Raw genomic sequence first — 20,034 nt, 5'->3', positions numbered from 1 at the left:
ATAGCAAATCCACGTGGAGCTTAATACATAGGTGATAGGTTGATAGGCTCAGCAAACCACTGTGACATACGTTTACCATTAAATGTAAGTGTGTATATATATATATGTATATATATGTATATATTTATATATATGTGTGTATATATATATATACATACACACACATACATACACACATACATACATATATATATATACACACACATATATGTAGAATTTTAAAGTAGATTAACAGAGGAAAGCGTGTGGTACAGAAATAAATTGTCACTTTCCTTGTAGTGGTGCCTGACTGGGAAAACTTATTGTTAGATTACTTTGATTTCTTTATTTAAGTTTTGTTATGCCATTAAGCTATAAAATATATCTATGTAGGAGAAAAATTAGAATATATCAATAAACCACCATCCAGGGGCAGCTAAAGTTAACGTTTTCTTCTAGATTTGTATGTATATATGTAATTTTTTAAAGAGATAGTATATTTTACCTACTAGTTTAAAATATAAATTTTTCCCATTTAAAAATCTCTCCAATATTTTATGTCAAAAATAAACATCCATATTAATTTTAGAGACTAATATCATAAGAATGCTTCATAGTTTATTTAGCCTATATTGGACATTTATGTTGTTTCTAATATTTTATTTACATAATGTACTGTTATAAGCATCCATGTCCATACATCTTTGCACATCTCTGATTATTTTGTAGGATAAATTGCCAAGTGTAGTTGTTTTAGATATAGCCTTGAATATTCTTATTTTTGAATATTATAAAGGTAATATACTTGGGGGCAACCATTATTCAGAATTCAAGCTAGTCTGTATAATGACACTGTTCAGCTCAGAATGGAAATATCAGATCTTTAAGGGTAACAATTTGAGACACTTATGTAATATCCCAAGTTTGAATTTTGAATTTCTGACTTGTTGAATTATAGAGGACATTCTTACCTTACAGATGAGGACATTATTATTCATTTACATATCTGTCATTCCTTAATATGTAAAGTCCTTGAGAGCCAAGATCACATTCTTTTTAAATTTGTGTCTTAGAACCAAGCACCATATTGGCTCAGAGCCCCTGTTCAAAAAATATTCACAAATAACCTTTGGCCAGGCACAGTGGCTCATGCCTGCAATCCCAGTGTTTTGGGAGGCCTAGGCATGAGGCCAGGAGTTTGAGACCAGCCCAGGAAACATAGCAAGACCCCGTGTCTACAAAAGTAATTTAAAATAATTAGCTGAGAGTGGTGGTGCATGCCTTTAATCCTAGCTACTTGGGAGGCTGAGGTGGGAGGATTGCTTAAGCCCAGGAGTTTGAAGTTGCAGTGAGCCACGATTGTGCCACTGCACTCCAGCCTGGGCAACAGAATGAGACACTCTATTGAAAGAATGAAATAAAGAGAGAGGGGGAGAAAGAGAGAGAAAAGGAAGGAAGGAAGGAGAAGGAGGAAGGAGGAGGAGGGAGGAGGAGGGAGGGGAGGGAGGAGAGGGAGGGGGAGGGAAGGAAGAAAAGGAAGGAAGGGAAAGGAAGGAAAGGAAGGAAGGGAAAGGAAGGAAGGGAAAGGAAGGAAAAGAATAAAGGGAAGGGAAGGAAGGAAAGAAAGGAAGGGAAAGGAAGGGAATGAAGGAAAGAAAGGAAGGGAAAGGAAGGGAAGGGAAGGAAGGCAAGAAAGGGAAAGGAAGGGAAGAGAAGGAGGGAGGGAGGGAGAGAGAGGGAAACAAAGAAAAAGAAGGAAACAAAGAAAGAAATTATAAATAACATTTAGGTATTGAGTGGCTAACAGATTTGCTAAAGGTCAAATGGCTAGTTCAAGGTAATGTTCACACTTGAACCCATACTCTTGATTCCAGACTTCTCAATTTTACCAGTGCCTCATCCTGAATTTCCCCAACAGTGTAGGGTCTGCTACTTATGAGGGAGTGCCATTCCTCGAAAGCAGGAGAGAGGGAAAGAGGGAAGGAGGCAAGAAAAGAGGGAGCACAATTAGGAGAGAGAAAGAGGGAAGGAGGCAAGAAAGGAGGGAGCACAATTAGGAGGCCATGTTACCAAGAACATCACCTTTTGGTATCTAAGGCTACTGATTGCTTGATGTCATGGGATCATTTTTTCTGGGAGGGTTTTTGAACAACAGCAATTAAAGGTACTCCATTAGTAGGAGAAAGAGAGACATTTATCTGCCAGTTGCAATCTCCCATGAAGCATTAATCCGTAGGTTGTGCATATGTAGGCTTTGAATGAATTCCTCTGGAATGGGAGATATAAGACAAGATATATTGTTGGCTTCTACCTACTAATGTCAGTTGCTATGGGAGTTGAGATAAAACAGGTAGCTAGGGAATAAAGAAACAAGTGGTTGAGCAGATCTGACTAGTGCCTGCAAGTTGTCTGATACAAATAACTTACACATTCATTCTCTTGGTTAATAAATGTTAAACATATCCTTGCACATGGTGATGAGTTAATGGTGAGCGTATACTCAGAAACTAGATACAGTCTTTGTTCTCCAGGAACTTACAACTTTAGCTTAACTTGGGCTCATCAACCATATCTCTTTTTTATTCTCAGGTGCATTCCCAGATCTTTCTTTACTGTACCCTTTTTTTTTCAGAAAACTGTACTCTTGTAGGTTTGGCGAGTGAAGACACTGGAGGGCGTTTTAGAATGGGAGTTAAAGTGGTGACATCTCTAGCAGCAGTGGAATTTCCTCTGGGGTTCTACCTCCCTCATGGCAACCTGTGGCTCTGGCTCCATGGTTGGGTCTGCCTCCTGGGATCCTCTTATTCCCAATGGTGCTCCAGCCCTAGGAGTAGTAGTGGCTTCCTGCTGTTGTTAATCTATGGATGTCCTCACTGTCCCCTAATTTTTTAAAATTCTTTCATCACCTAGTAACCAATTAGTGAAACCAATTCCTTCTGCTTATGAAAGCTAGAGTGGTTTCTGTTTTACTAAGTGGACCTCAACAAAAACAGTTCTTCCAAAAAAAATCAACCAATGACTCCTAATAGTTTCATTGATCATGAAATAAATAATAATCTGCCAATGTAATATTGAAAAGGGTGAATATTTTGCTTCCCACCAGTTCATGAAAATCATCAGAGTAGTAAATTTTTAATGCAGACCTCATCATTAAAATCTTATTTTATTTGAAGCCACAAGGAGTTAATGTAAAACTAATCTAGAGGGATAAGCATAATCTTGTCAGGATGGACATTTTCTTCATGAAAAGGGAACATTATTTCTGCCAGGAGGTCATTAGAAATCAAACACATATGTTGAAATGCTGACTCTTACTTTAATTTTGAAAGAATGCTGCATATGGAAACTGATAAAAGAAAATATATATATTATTTTATCTTTAACTTTCCAATGCCTTCATTTCCTTTTTCTGAATATGAGGATAAACATGGAAGGAGAGATATAGAAAATGTTTTTAGGGAGGTCAGCTCTCTCTCTAGCCATTGTGCAACATCAAATGACCTTTATGAATAATACAGTGCAAGCATTTGCACAGCTGAGCTATGCTGTGTGGTCTTAAAAAATTAATGGTATCTGAAATTTGCATAAACTCTAAGCAATATTAATATTATTGCAATCATTATAATCTGTATTAATATTCATTATGTACTCTATTAGGTGCTTTATACATGTTATCTCATGAATTGTCAAAATATCCTATAAGCTCAGTATCATTTGTCCTATCTTACAGATGTGTAAAGCAAGGGAGATGGAGTACTATGCTCAGTTTTACAGAAAGTAAATAATGGAACTGTATATTAAATCCAAATCTGTAAGACTAGAACTCCCTACTGCTTTCTCCATACTATGCTACTATTGTCACTAGATAAAACTTTTTTTTACTTTAAGATCTGAAAATTATAAGTGATTACTGATATATAAACTATGATATTTTTAATAAACATAATTTAATTTTTTCTGTTCCTTAAAAGTAGAGTATGTGAATTATTTCTCTCAGCTGTTCTCTTTCATAGAGAGAAATTCATAGAATTATGAAATACAGTGAATCCATAGAGAATATCTAGTCCAACCTCCTAATTTCACAGGTGAAAAATCTTAGGTCTAGAGGCAGAAAATGATTTGGGCAAGAAAATTGCTACCTCTCAGAATCTTCATTTGCAGACAGGCATATGGTATCCATTGAGACTTAAATGGAGGAGAGAGGAATGGCAGGTTTAAATGAAGCCATCTGGAAGTTACCACTTGCCAAATGAAACAGATGGAAATTTTCTTTGACATATAGCAAGGGACCCTGATGTGGGCTTCTTCTGTCTATTCTGTTGGGAATTCTAAGATATAAGGACTTTTGGAGAAGGTCGGGCCATTGAGGATTCCAGCATGTGCCAGTCCCAATAGGCTTATATTTAGGATAGTTAGGAAAATATTATCAACACTCACAAGGAAAAGTGATATCCTATAATTTTCTGAAGGCTTTCCTAGATTGAGAGGGCACCTGTCACAGGCTGGTAGAGAATCAAAGTATAGTTTCCAGTTCAGTCTTGGGAAACTGGTAAAGAAAGAGGGAGTGATGTTTAAGATGATTGTGTGAAATGTTCTTTTATGACTCATCCCGTAAGGAGGTTTTCCTGAGAAACTGAAAGGACAAGTCAAATACTACAATCCCAGGAAAGTGAAAAGTAAAGACCAAGGGAAAATGAATACAGAACAAATGAAATAATTTTAACACTGATGATTAAGGTTAGTTTGAGTCATAAAAGGAGAAGGACAATTCAACGGAGACCAAGAGACTGAGGGAAAGATGTACAAGAACCCCAGAAGGAGCAGGCCTCAGGGACTGCCAAAGAATCAAGAACCCAGAGAACAGTATGCTCAGCCTTCTATCTCTCTCTTTCTCTCTCTCTCAATCTTCCTCCATGCTTCCCACAGAATTTCAAAGTGGAGTATGCCATCCCACTGACCCAGAGTTTATACCATCTCTGCTCTAGTCACAAGAACGAACTATGTGGCTTTCTGTGAATCAATATCAAATTCCAAGACAGGATATTTGACCCTTGTTCCAATCACCTATCAAGAAGGAGGTTGGACAAGTGAGAGTAGACATTCTAAAAGAAAGGGAGTTTTTTAAACTGAGCAGACACCCTACAATGTCAATGTCAGCCAATTTTTTGAAATTGAAACTGGATCACAGCAGTGGCTAATGGGGCTCTTGGTAAGCAACATAGATTGAGAATGAATTTTATCTTGATTAATGAATGGCAATCAACTAATTTTGTAATATACTCATTACAAAAAATAGCCAAATAGGAAGGTATAAAAAGAACAGAATAAATGAATTCATTTATAATAAAGAAAAATAAAGTGACTTTATACATAATATTTTGCCTCATGGACAACTTTACCTGGCTTAAGTCATTGTTTACAACTCTGATTCTTTTTTTTTTTTCTTTTGAGACAGCTTCACTCTTGTTGCCCAGGCTGGAGTGCAATGGTGTGATCTCAGCTCACCGCAACCTCTGCCTCCTGGGTTCAAGCAATTCTCCTGCCTCAGACTCCCGAGTAGCTGGGATTACAGGCATGTGCCACCATGCCCAGCTAATTTTGTATTTTTAGTAGAGATAGAGTTTCTCCATATTGGTGAGGCTGATCTTGAACTCCTAACCTCAGGTGATCCGCCCACCTCGGACTCCCAAAGTGCTGGGATTACAGGTGTAAGCCACCACGCCTGTCTGCGACTCTGAATCTTAATACCATTTTGTGGCAATTACTTGTCTAGCTTTTTCCCCCTTTCCTATCTCAGGATAAAGGGGTCTGTCATTGTAAAATGAAGCTCTGTTTTGTGGAGAGTAGCAATCTAAATACAAGAATTTTGTGTCATAATACTCAATGTAGTGACGTTTTCCCTTTTTTCCTATGATACTATTTTAATAATAAAAGTAAATATGTTTATTGCATAATGTTTGGAATAGAGAATCATATAACAAAGGAAATAAAATCATTCATAATCAGGTATAGTGATTTTTAAAACAAAAATGATTTTAATCTAATTCTAGGTTTAGAAGCATTAAACAGACAAATGAATGTTCTTAGATTTTTAGAATCCAATCCCCTGTGTGGTAATAAGAGACATTTGATTGGATAAAAACGCCTTCAAGTATTGACAGCCTACTGACTGATGCGTTTTACTATTGCCCAATGCAGCACAAACCCTTGGTATGTAGGTGCTGCCTTTGTAAATATATCAGCTGCTGAGTGTATTAAAATGCCCTGAATTAATCAAGTGTGACTGATGATCTTAATTGATGGGGGAGACACAGTAACCTTTTTCTCAAAGCAACTACATCATGTAATTACAGAGGAAACTGTATAGCATTTGTTAGTTAGACTAGACACCTCTAATGACATTATCCAAGCAAAGGGTATTATTATCCCCCATTTTAAGATTTAAAAATCTGAGACAAATATCAGTTAAATAGGTAACAGCTCCAAGGTCATACAAAAGAATTAAGAGCAAAATCAGACTTTAGGTCTCTTTAACCCTAAACTCTATGTGTTAACCTCTACAACCCACAAACTTTCTGACTGATTAGGTTAAGTTTATGTAGAAAGAAATAAAATATTTATAACTGGTTCCAACTTTTATATATTTCTGGGGTTACTTAAAGATGCTGAAGATAAATTAACTCTAGAATGTAGCTCCATTGCTGAAATAAATAAATAAATTTGATGAGTTGTAGTATGGGCATGAAATGCCATCTGAAGTTAAAGAAAATAGGAGAAATAAGTCACTTAGAAGAAAAACTGTTTTTACATAAAATCAGCATCCAGTTTTGATAAGAATCAAAGCTATTTTAATTTGTGCTTTTCAATGAAAATAGAAATAATCTCATCATGATCAAATCAAATATAATATAGATTAAAATAAGCATAAGCATAGCCAGAGTATTGAGGGCAGATCACTTACTTTTTGTATAACAACAAAGCTATTCAAATTAGAAATCAAATCATATATATTAAATTAAAAATATATTTACTAATAATTTCCTTGGACAGTATTTTCAGGTTAAAAGGCTTAAATTTGTTTCTGAGATTAGCTCTTTATTCTTAAAAAGCAGGTGTTAACATTGTTTATTATTTATTATTTTTCCCATTTTAAGATGAAGAAAATAAATGAGGTTTAGTCAACTGTCCCAAGTCACACAACAAGTACGGAGCCATCTCACTATACTTCATATGGTGTTGATACCTATGTCAAATTGCAGTGTTTTCTAGGAATAAGTCAGATGAATAAGACATTATTAAGTGTTCTCCAACTTTTGTAATCAAAGTGTTTTCTTAATCACAGTTGTAGGAAGGGCCCAAAAGCTTAGAAAGAGCCGTGTGTGTGTGTGTGTGTGTATGTATATATGTATGTATATGTGTATATATGTTTGTGTGTGTGTGTGTATATATATATACACACACACACAAATATGTATATGTGTATATATATGGGTATATGTATCTATGTGTATATATATGGCTATATATATATATATATATACACACACACACCCATATATAATGGAAAAGAAAATAGTGAGTTTGAACTAATTGGTCCTCCCATCACTGTGCCAATCTCTGAAGCTCCTCAAGAATACCTCAAGAATAGTTTAAGAATATTTCACATAATTTATAATTTGATTTGTTGTAATTTTTATCTTTTGTTTTAAGTGAGAGAAAAAAAATATACAAACAGACAATGGCCAAACATAAAAAAATGGAGCTCTGACCCACAATATGAGCACCCAGCCCAGGAAACCAACCCATTATCTATAGTAACCAGCCCAGGAAGCCTGCCTACTCTCTAGAAGTCAGACTTACAAGAAGTCAGACCACTGTCTCTAACAACCAGACCTGAAAGCCAAATAGTAACTCCTGTAATAATTAACTGGCAGTTTACCTAATTTATTCCCTGTTTCAAGTTTAAGACCAGCTACAGAAAGCCAAATATGTACTCCCTAAGCAATTACATAGGAAGTCCCACTTCTAGTTACGCTACCTTCATCAGGATAAGAGATTAGGATTAGGGGCTGTTCCTGACAACAGCTCCTAATCAGGACACACCTGAAGTCTTCCCTCTATTCCACTATAAAGCTTTCTTGTTACTCTTGCCTGCCTTTGAATCTCTGCCAAAATACAAGTGATGGTGGCTGACTCCTTTGCTATAGCAAACTGAATAAATAGCCTTTTTTTCATGTAGTGGGTCTTTTAAAAAACATTCTCCATAAAAAAGCTTTATTATTTGTATAAAAATGATACACAATTACTATTTTTAAGAAAACTTCAAGCAATACAGGAGAAAACAAAAATCTAACCACCCAAAGATAAACACCAAAACTATTAGGTGAGCATAATAGCAGATACATATTTTTGTCTACAGATAAACAAAAGAATGAATGGGTAGATAAATGAATGAAAATGATTTTTATAAAATGGCATCCAGAAATATATTCTATTTTAAATGAAATGTATTGAATTAATTTTATTATAATAAAAACAAACTCAAATGAAAATAAACAGTTGAGCATCCAATAATCATTTCTTCCGAAAACATATATGTAAATATGTTTATATTTACATACGTGTGTATATATACATATATTTATATAAGTGTAACTTATATGTGTATATATACACACACATAAATATATGTATGTATACACATATATACACAGATATTTATAAAACAAATATATATATTTGTTATGAATAGATTTTTCTGAAGGTAAGTAAAATATTGTGAAAAATAAGATGTGGCAAATCATTTTTTTGAATTCAAGACTTCAAGTTTAAATAGTACCAAATTCCTGCATTCTATGAAGAATAGGAAAAATTTGTATTTACATTTCTCATTCCTCCATTTTCCTTTACTTTCTTATATTGGTTATTTATATTAGCATGTTTGTTCTGTCAAAATTGGTAATATTTACATTATTTTATATAAAAACATAATGGCTGACATTTATTGAAATCTGCAGATTCCAATCATTACTCTAAGGCTGCTTGCCTGCCTTCCTTTCTCCCTCCCTTCTTTTTTTAAATTTCTTTGTTCTTTCCTTCCTTCTTTTTCTTGTTTTTTTTCTTTTTGTATTTTTTTTTTTTGAGACGGAGTCTCACTTTGTAGCCCAGGCTGGAGTGCAGTGGTGCCATCTCAGCTCACTGCAACCTCCGCCTCCTAGGTACCAGCAATTCTCCTGCCTCAGCCTCCCGGGTAGCTGGGACTACAGGCACACGCCACCATGCCCAGCTAATTTCGTATTTTTTAAGTAGAAACAGGGTTTCACCATGTTGGCCAGGCTGGTCTCGAACTCCTGACCTCAGGTTATCCACCTGTCTCGGCCTCCCAAAGTGCTGGGATTACAGGCGTGAGCCACCGCGCCTGGCCCCTTCTTTTTCTTTAATCTGAGAGCTGGCCCATACTCATTTTTGGCTTACAACATATTATATTTCTTGGCTTGTTCAGGCTTCTTATATTTATCATGTAATTTAATATTCACCAGGATCCTTTCAGGCAAGTATTATTTTCCCATCTTACAGATAAGAGAACTGAGATACCAAGTGGTTGAGTAATTGTCCAACATACATTTAATAAGCAATGGAGCCACATTTTAAACCCATTTCAATCTGTTATCAGAGTTTGAACTCTTAATTTCTGTAGAATAGCCATAGTTCCACAGTTGTTTGGGTTTATTTTTATCTTTAAGTGGATTTATATGGTTTGGATTTGTGTTTCCCCCCAAATCTCATATCAAATTTTAATCCCCAATGTAGGAGGAGGGACCTGGTAGGAGGTGACTGGATCATGGGGGTGGATTTCCCTCTTGCTGTTCTTGTGATAGTGAGTTCTCATGAGATCCGGTTGTTTAAAAGTGTGTAGCACCTCCCTCTGATCTCTCATTCTCTTGTTCTGTCCATGTAAGACGTTTCCTGCTTCCCCTTCACCTTCAGCCATGATTGTAAATTTCCTGAGGCCTCCCAAGCCATGCTTCCTGTACAGCCTGTGGAACTGTGAGTCAATTAAATCACTTTTCTTTATAAATTACTCATTCTCAGGTAGTTCTTTATAGCAATGTGAGAACAGACTAATACATGGACCCACTGCTTACTTCCAGTACCTTACTATGTTTCTCCATTTCTGGATTCTTTATTTTGATTCAGTTCTTGGTTTGCTGCATTTTATTGCATTGCATTGAAAGACATTTTATAAAAGTTCAGAGACATTGCATTCCTTTATTTGCTTCTTAATGTCTAAGAATATTTGTGAGTTGTTTTTCTACTCCAAGAAATATGAGTCTGGATATGAAATACTTGAGTCATTTTTATTTCCCTTTGGACTTTATATACTTTTCTCAACTGTTCCTGCTTCATTAATAGTTTTATTAGAAATTTTCTACTCATATTTTAGTTTTCCAAACTCAAAAATTATAGTTCTAGAGTTTCTTTTTTCCCAAGAACAACTCTTGAGGACTTTATACCTTGTGTTTACTCATTATTAAAAATTTCTGCCAGAAACTTCTATACTTGAATATCACCTCCCTTGATAATTAGCTTTGGGTCACAGCTCTGAACATTTGAATTTATTGTCTCTGGCATTGAATATTGCTATAGAGTAAATGTGGCTTGATTTTTTTGACTGTTATATTTTGTGTTTTTTTTTAAATCCTGCCTGTGTATTTGAGGTAATCTTTTTTACTTTTAGATGTTGAAAAATTTAATCAGAATATATCTTATGTTGATCATTTTTTTTGGATTTGCCTGACCACACTGGACCTTTTAACTTTGAATATGCTTTTTATTCTACTTGTTAGGTTCTCTGAGGAACACAAATTTCCCAATGATTTTTCTTTTTCTATCTTACCTGTATAGTATATTCTAACTGTTTTGTTCTCTTCTCCAATTTGCTCTGCATATTATTAACTCAAATCTTTCTTCTTTAATAGTAAATTGTTTGGTGTTTATAATTCATTTATTGGCTCTGTAATTTTTCTTTTAATTGAATATTGTTAATAGTTTCGTTTTTGAGCTATTTTTTATTATGTGTGTATTTTATTGTGTTCTTTGATAGCTTAGTACATTCAAAGAGAATATTCTTATTTCACTTGAATTATTCTTTCTTCCAGACTTGGTTCTTCATTTTGTTACAATATAAAATTTATATTAATTCAGTTGTGTTCATTTTCATTTATTTGTGCTTGCCATGGGTAGCTTTGCCAAGATCTTCTGTTTGCTCTAATATAATATAGATAAATTAGCTTTGATCCTCTTCCAGTCAACTCAAAGACTATTCTTCCCACCACCCGCATGTTCCCTGAACTCCTAACTAGCCGAGCTATTGCACCAAAGTGATTTCTTTTCCTTCCTTTTTCCCTCCCTCCCTCCTTTCTTTCTTTCTTCCATTCTCTCTTTCTTTTTTCTTTTCTTTTTTTTTTAACCTTAGAGTACAAGCATGGAAAGAGAAGGGTAACAACTTATTAGTTCCTTATATTGCAGTTTGCTTTGACAAGAAACTAAAACATTCATTATTTGCTTTTTCTTCTGATATGTTCTCAAATATCCTGTACTATCGTTTCATTTCACTTGGTTGAAGGTATATCCTATTTTTCTGGTAGAATACCCTAAGCCTTCAGTCAATTCATTCACATCAAAATGTAACTTTGGAAAATTCTGTTCTTGCTCCTGCTCACTCATCCAGCATGGCATTTACTCTTAAGAATTTGCCTAGCCTGTTTTTTTCTACATTCCTACGTATCCTTTAGTCTACTTTTTGTCAAATTAGAGATATCAGTGAAAGCCTCAAGATTTGGAATACTCACCTTCTTTCCACAAAATGTCTGTCAATGAGCAATAATGGTAGTAAGTTTTAGAATCTGCACACACTGTACCAAAATTTTCTAATTGCTTCTGTGGGCTACTGTTTTTCAGTGTAATAATATTTGCTGCTTTTGAACTTTTTTCTTTCTTGCCTTTTTTTTTTTTTGGCTTTTTTCTACTTTGTATGTATCTTTTTTAGGTGTACAAAGGGAGAATGTGTAACATTAAGCACCAGGAGCACCAAATGGGAGGGGTATGTAAACTGTTGAGGGCAATGGTCACTAACTATTGAGTCGGGAGTAGAGGACTCTGTGAGAGGTACAGAGTTTTTGAAAGAATTTGCAACTGCATATGGCCTCCAAAAATTGTCTGCTGGCTGAATAAAAATAGCACTTATTGAATTACTATATTTCAAATGAATTCAGGTGCTATTTTTTTTTATGGTGAATAAAATAGAAAGTAATTTAAATGCATTACTGAATTCTTTATAGCTCTTTGTCATTATGTATATAGGTGAGGCAATATAGTAGTATTAAGAGGCTGTAGACAGAATGCCGTGTCATACTGCAACCTTGAGAAAGTTATTTAACTACTACAGTAAGCGTCACTGTAAAATGAAATAAAAATAGTATTTACCTCATACGGTCATTATGAGGCTTAAATAAAATAATACATGCAAAGCATTTGGCACAGCACCTGACACCTTATCAGCACCCAATTTTAGCTTCTACAGTTGCAATCCATGGATACTATCATATGAGGATCTAATGATTAGCTAGAAAGAGATCTTCTCATTTTAATGTTGTAAATTACAGCAGGGCAAGATCAGCTTGAATCTGTGGACATGACTTATCTGCTTCTATTAGGTTAAGCCACATAAATGCTACAAACTGGAAGAAAATGTATTAAGTATTCCTACAGAGAAACAAGTGTGATGTCAGTTTAGCATGTAGCATGCATTTGGATGCATTAGATGTCACAGCTTGATTTCCACAAGAAGCAGATGCTGACACGAAGAATGGCAGGAAGAACTTTATTTGGAAGGCTCTCAGGATCAACACTTGTGAAGGAAAAGGGAAAAAAGCGGGATTGGGCCGATGTAGAAGTTGGGCTTTGATACCAAGAAAGCCACAACTGTTCTGCACAGGGAGCTTGAAAGTTACGATGGCCCACCAGAGTATTCCCAAGTTGTGAAAAAGAAAGAGGTGGACCTTTATATTCCCATATTGACCAGTCATCAGTTGCAGGCTGCCTCTGAAGAAACAGACACATCTTAGCTTGATGTATTTCTCTTTTTTTTTTCTCCCTAGCTGAGACTAATTTCTGTCGAGGGCTGAAAACCATTCGGCAGTGGGCAGCGTTTCTAGCAGCTGGGGGCATAAGTTCTTCAGATCTGAAGAGGGATCTGGGTGTGCACAACAGAGTCCACTGCATTAGTTATGGCATGTTCCTTAAAAGTCATATATTCCTGGCTCACAATAGTTCTGTAATACCATTCAGAATAAATTCTAGAACCAGTTTACTACCTGCAGTTTTAAAAAAAATCCATCTAATTACCATTTTTATTATATATTCTGAAGTAATGAAGAAAAGATATTGAAAAATATTAATGCATTCTCTGTTGAGAATGTATTTTGATATGTTATTGCATATAGGCATTTAAAATGCACATCTATTGCATTTAAACTGATCAGTCCTGACCATCTATGTTTTAAAGACTATATATACATATATACCTGTATACATATATAAATACGTGTGTGTGTGTCATTATCTGCACATATATATATATTCAGACCTGTTTTGTGAGCAAGTTTGATTTTTACACATTCATGTGAGTGATATTTTTCCAGGGTCAGTATCAGGCACTTTGGGAAATATAAAGAATAAGAAGCACGCCAGACTTTAAAAAGCTAAAGGAAGATAATATATGTGCACAATAATTATTTGTAGCAGTCCACTTTAAAGAGTTATGTGGCCTGACATGAACATGACAGGATAGGCAGAATAGTGGTGTAGTCCAGAGCACAGTGTCAGGTCAGGCTGCTTGGGTTCAAATACCAGCTCTGCCACCTCCATGCTCTGTGACATTAGGCAAGGTATTTGACCTTTCTGTGCCTCACTTTTATTATCTTTAAAATGGGTTTAATAATACCTATACCCTAGAGTTGTTATGAGGGTTACATGAGCTGACATATGGCTATGATCTATGTCTGTGATCCAGTGCAAGATCTAGTCTATGATACAGTACAAGAAACATAATTTTATTTTTCTTGTAAAAATCATATCAGTGACCTATCAGGTAGGACCCTTCCCTACCTGATAAAAATAAAATTGAAATTCATGTTTTTATGGGAAACCTAGGGTCCTGAAAGAATCACAGTACTTAAAGAGCATTTGAAGAATAGCCTTTGGGTCTGCAGTATATACTAGTCACCACTGTTACCTATCCTTTGTCTGCCTCCATCAAAGGGGCATTTAGATTTTGGCTGATTCCAAGGGCTGCAGTCTCTAGTCCCTGACCACTACAGGTATATCTTGCTATCATTTTTATCTGAGACCCACTTTATTAGTGCATTCTCACATTGCTATAAAGAACTACCTGAGACTGGGTAATTTAAAAAGAAAAGAGGTTTAATTGGCTGAAGGTTCTGCAGGCTATACTGAAAGCATGGCTTGGGAGGCCTCAGGAAACTTACAATTATTGTAGAAAGTGAAGGGGAAACAGACACATCCTATATGGCCAGAGCAGGAAGGAGAGAGAGAAGGAGGAGGTGCTACACTTTTAAACAACCAGATTTCATGAGAAATCACTCACTGTTATAAGAACTGCAAGGGGGAAGTCTGTCCCCATGATCCAATCACCTCCCACCAGGCCCCCCTCATCCTCAACAGCGGGGATTACAATTAAACCTGAGATTTCAGTAGGGACACAAATCCAAAACCATAGCAGCTGCCATCTCCCTGGCTGTAGAAGATGGAGCAACACACCGTTTCACCATTGCTTGTGAACTTCCTAGACTCCAACTCTACTATTCGCTGGAAAAACTCTCTCAATACCCTTCTCCAAAAGCTAATTCACTACCTTTCCCAACCCTGAAATCTCTTCTCTCAGATCATCTAATTCCATATTCTCTTATGAGCCTCGATTTTTGAAAAAAAAGTCCAGATTGCAACTGATCTTTTGAGTACACTTGCATTTTTTCCCATTTCTGGGAAAAGGGAAGACAAAAACATTGCTATCTTCTAAGACACAGAACTGTAAATTATTTACAGCAGTGACAAGAAAAGGCAAATTAATATCCCAATGCATTTTTCTACCACACACAGATTACACTATGTGAAATATGATGCATATCTTTCTATTTAACTTATAGTTGCAATATAATATAAAACCCATTGCCTGTGTGAGTTTGAAATAGAGTTTCAAGAGCTGCAAAATTTGAAAGTGGTAACTTTAGCAATCTGCTGTTAGCAAGGAGTGAAATATCAAGAGCAACCTTTTTTTCCCACCCTTTCTCTTATATCTGTTTATCAAATTTTCCACAGATCACAGGTGTTCAGTTTTTTATTGGAAAAGCAAGTGCATTCTTTGAAATTATATTGCTCCCACACCTATATCCCATTTCCTAAGCATTTTCTGCAGTCTATTAAGATGTTCAGATATGCTTCTGTCAAAATGATGCTGTTTCATTCCCAGAGATAGAATACTGAGCAGGCTGAATGTGCACTCAAAGGAAGTAAGTGTTTTATTGGGTGATAGGAAGTGAGGGACCCTGCAAAATCATGTTTTTGAAGACAGTTATAACATCTAATGAAATCTTGAACTGCCCAGATACTGCTCAAGTGGAAATAAGTTGGAAAATGATGACAATGTTTAGATATAGCAGAGAGGAGTATTCTTAATAGAAAAGACATGATGGAATCCTAAATATTTAGCTGTACCTTACAATGTGATTGTCACACCAAATACCTTGGTGAGCACTTGAAACATTGTATTAAAATAAAATTCTCTTATAAGTTTCCTAAAGATTTTCTTCAGAGAGATTATTTTTAGAAAGAACTTATTGGATGCTACTAGGGGAAATACTGTTCTTATTAGTCTCTGGTCATAACATACTCAGTAACCTGTTAATACATAACTGTTTTGTGTGTGGGTTTCCATCTAAAGACACCTTATTTAATACATATTTTCCATTCATTTACATTGAAATAGCAACAGCATCATACCTCATGCCTCAGCAAAGCTAATCTAACACATGTGTTTTCTTCATAAGGCACATCACAGCCTACTTAGACTTAGAAGCATTAGATAGAACTTCAGCATTATTCTTTGGGGCCATTTTAAACAGTAAAATCACTAGCAAAAAGTACAAAAATGCAAAAACCATTGTACTAAATAGACTGCAAAAGGGACACTTATTTATAGCATGAGAACTTAAACAGTAAGGCAGCTCATTGCTTTACTTGACCTCAGCTTGGAACATACGCATTGGGTGACAAATTTTTTGCCACACTGTGCATGTCCATGAATAACCATGAAGGCAATGCATGTATTAATATTGGGCATACAAGTAAATATTAGTGAGCAGACAACTTAAACATAGAATCCATGAACAATAAGGATCCACTGTACTTGGAAATAAATATTTATTGGGTCACCAGTGCCTTAAAGGAAGCAACATAACCACAATTTCTTAGAGGTTGAGTTATTTGAATATTTCAAGGTATTTTAGATCGGGTCATAATTATTTAGTTAGAACACTAATATTGAGATCAATCTTACCATTTTATGCATAGGAAAGATCAATCTTATCACGTTATATATAAGAAAGATAAACTCTAGAGAGGTAAAGCAGCTTTTTCAAAATTGCATTGTAAGTCATACAGTGGCAAAACAGGACCAACATCTCTTGATTCTAAGCCTGTTTCTCTTTCTACTACACCACTCCATGTAATAATGTATGTGCACTTTTAAAAATGCATTCTGCATTGTAGAGTGCAGAGATTGACATTGTATCAATGATTATGCCAATTTCTTTTCTGAATTCATCTTTAAAAAGTGGGAAGTTCAGCAAAGCAAAAGCAATGAGTATTGATAGTCAATCCTGACAATTTCACTATTTTCAGTGGCAAATCTCTGAGTTTAATTTTTATGGCTAATCATATCACAGATTCACCATACCCATAGAGGTATATGCTGTCTACATTTACACAATTTTTAGTCTTCAGCAAGTAGTATGAGTAAAGTCAACCAAGATGATTTTTAAATGGATTGTTAAAATGATAAAACTAAATTTAAAATATTTTATAGTAATATGTGGTATCAAAAACTAGACTTCCATTTTCTAACTTATATTTTGTACTGTGTGTTCATTAGGATCCAGTCCAAAGTGCCTTAGAAAACTCAAATAACTCAACTTCTGAAGGAAAAAACTATGGTTATATTAACTTCTATAAAGTACTAGTGATCTTAGAGGTGTTTGATAAAACAAAGTGATGAAGAGCATAAAGTATATCTACTTTAAAATTAGTGATAGTTTCAATAGTGCCAGGCTTATTCTAACATAGATGACAGAAAAATAGATAGAAATATAGGTATCTCAAATATTAAAACATATCTAATAATTTTAATAACATATTTCACTGGAATGTCTCTACACCCAAGACAACTGACATTTTTATCTGTGGGATTAATGATTTTCAATTTGTTCTCAAATTGCTACAGTAACCAGTGATCAAATTTTAATATTCCATTGAGTTAAAGTCACTAATTATTTAAAAAGGGCAGAGGGAGAGAATTCTATTAAAGAATTGGTTTGTGAGACTTGAGCTATATTCTGGAGAAGTCATAAATATCTCTTTGTTAGTGTCTTCTTTCAAATTTGACTACAAGTGTAAATGGGTTCTATTGCTTTCTCTAATGATTTGGCATGGATCATTAACTGTCCTAGGACTTTAAATATTTCTTCCACTAGGAAATTGAGGATATAACTGATAGACTGCTGCCCAAGAGCCAAAGGGCCTGGAGACAAGAGACTTACTAACTTGTTGAGGGAAATTCTGTTTGAAGATAGTAGTGAGTAGGTAATGAATAATTATTCATTTTACTTAAAGCCATGATTATTAATTCAAGCACAATGAGTGATTTTTTTAAAGAGCTGTGTTGCAAAAATAAGTTACAGTAATAATGTAGAGGTTGAAGTAAAGAGGCCAGATTTAGAGTTAATAATTTGATGATCATAAAATCTTAGATCCTATTCCCTACAGCATAAATGTTGGCAAAACCTAGTGTCTTGCTAAATGAGAGCTACTCACCATTCCAACTTCTGGTTAAAATACAGACCAATAATATGTTTCAAAACCATATTGAATTTTATTCCTGAATAACTTTAGTAATTCTTATTTTAATTACTAAAAACAAAATTTACACAAATTAAAATAATCTCAAAAATGGGTGAACGAAATTAATATCCTGGCAAAGAAAGAGCATGGGCTTTGAAGTCAGGCAAAATTCACTACCAGACTGGTTTGTCTTTTGATTTCTCCAGGCTTCCTCTGTAAATCTGGGCAACAATCTCTACATCACAGTGTGGTTATGAAATCTAAATGAAATAATGTCTATAAAGTACTTGGCACATGTATGTCATCTATTGCTACATTAAAAAATTACTCTTAAATTTAGTGGATTAAAACAGTGAAGATGTGTTATCTTGCTGTTTATGGGTCAGAAATCTGGGCCTGGTTTAGCTGAGGGCGTCTGGATTAAGTTCTCTCAGGAGGTTGCAGCCAACTGTTGACTGAGTCTGAAGTCTCACCTGAAAATGTTACTGGAGGAAGATTTTCCTTCAAGTGTGTTCATGTGGGCCTCTATTCCTTAGAGATGTTTGATTATGGGCCTCATTTCCTTGCTAACTGCTTACTGGGGGTTTCCCTCAGTTTCTCTTCACGTGGATCTTTTCACTGCACTGCCTGATGACATGGAAGGTGACCTCCCCAAGGAAAGAGAGAGAGCATCTAATCTAATGTGAGAAGTGATATCCCACCACTTGTGCCTAATTTGATTCATTAGAAGTTGATCAATAAATCCCACTCAAGAGCAGGATGTGACAACCAAGAGGTGAGGTTTCATGTACCACTGCATTGGACCAGGCACAGTGCTGAGTTCTCACAGATATGATCTACATTAATAACTCACTTCCTAAGTGGACAAATTCCTGTTGTTTTTTTTATGTATACCCTGACCACAACAATTATGATATTAGCAATCTTTAAATTGAGCTTTTTATGTGCAAAGCAGTGTTTTCAGTGTTTTTATAAATTTTGAACTAATTTAATCCTTGCAAATTATCATGCTTCTTTTACAGACAAGAAAATAAAGTTACAGAGAAATTATGTAATTTGCCCATAGTCACAGAGCTATTAGGTGTTACACCTGTCATATGAACTTAGGCATTTCCAAAGCCTAGAATCTTAAACATTATGCTATACTACCTCAAAATCAATGGCCCTTAACCTTTAAGGGTGTTGGACCTTTATTATGAATCTGATGGCAACTAAAAGCCCTTTTCTAGAAAAATATACAGAGGTACATTTTTCATATGATTGTAGGGGGTTCTCAGAAACCCTGAATTCCACAGATGGATGCCTGATTTAGAACCCCTGTGTATAACTGTCCAACTTGGATAAAATTCAGTAAAGCCTAGATTTTTACATAAAACAAGCTGGTACAGTGAGAAAGAAGTAGGTTGGGAGTCAGTAGAATTGGGTTTGGATTCCACTTCAATGGGCAAGTCATTCAACTTGAAACCACAGTTCTTTTATGTATAAAATGGCCACAAATAAGTACAATGTTGGTGGGAATGTAGATTGATACAGCCATTATGGAAAATATGGAGGTTCCTGAAGAAGTTAAAAATAGAACTACCATACAACTCAGTCATTTCTTTTCTGGGTGTATACCCAAAGGAGATGAAATCACCACCTTGTAAAGAAATCCACACTCTCAAGCTTATTATAACATTATTCACAATAGCTAACATATGAAAACAACCTAAATGTCTGTTGATGGATGAGTGGATAAAGGAAATGTGGCATACATATAATGAAATATTATTCAGCCTTAAAAAGGGAGATTCTGCCATTTGCCACAACATGGATGAATCTGCTTGGACATAGACATTATGCTAAATAAAGTAAGCCAGA

General features: G+C 35.2%; 1 long non-coding RNA gene across 7 annotated transcripts in view; it reads left to right on the top strand.

Moving 5' to 3' along the window:
- Positions 1 to 20,034, top strand: part of ARL14EP-DT (ARL14EP divergent transcript) — a 279,977-nt gene that overhangs the window by 228,608 nt on the left and 31,335 nt on the right. The window contains exon 4 of one of the 7 annotated variants that reach the window (NR_187433.1): positions 9,939 to 10,026. The exons of the other annotated variants lie outside the window; for them this stretch is intronic. This is a non-coding gene — a long non-coding RNA (ARL14EP divergent transcript). The remainder of the gene's footprint in view (positions 1 to 9,938; positions 10,027 to 20,034) is intronic. 7 annotated transcript variants of the gene reach the window in all.

Source organism: Homo sapiens, chromosome 11 (genome assembly GCF_000001405.40).
Source record: "Homo sapiens chromosome 11, GRCh38.p14 Primary Assembly".
Lineage (NCBI taxonomy): Eukaryota > Metazoa > Chordata > Mammalia > Primates > Hominidae > Homo > Homo sapiens.
This window is presented reverse-complemented; position numbering and strand designations above follow the sequence as displayed.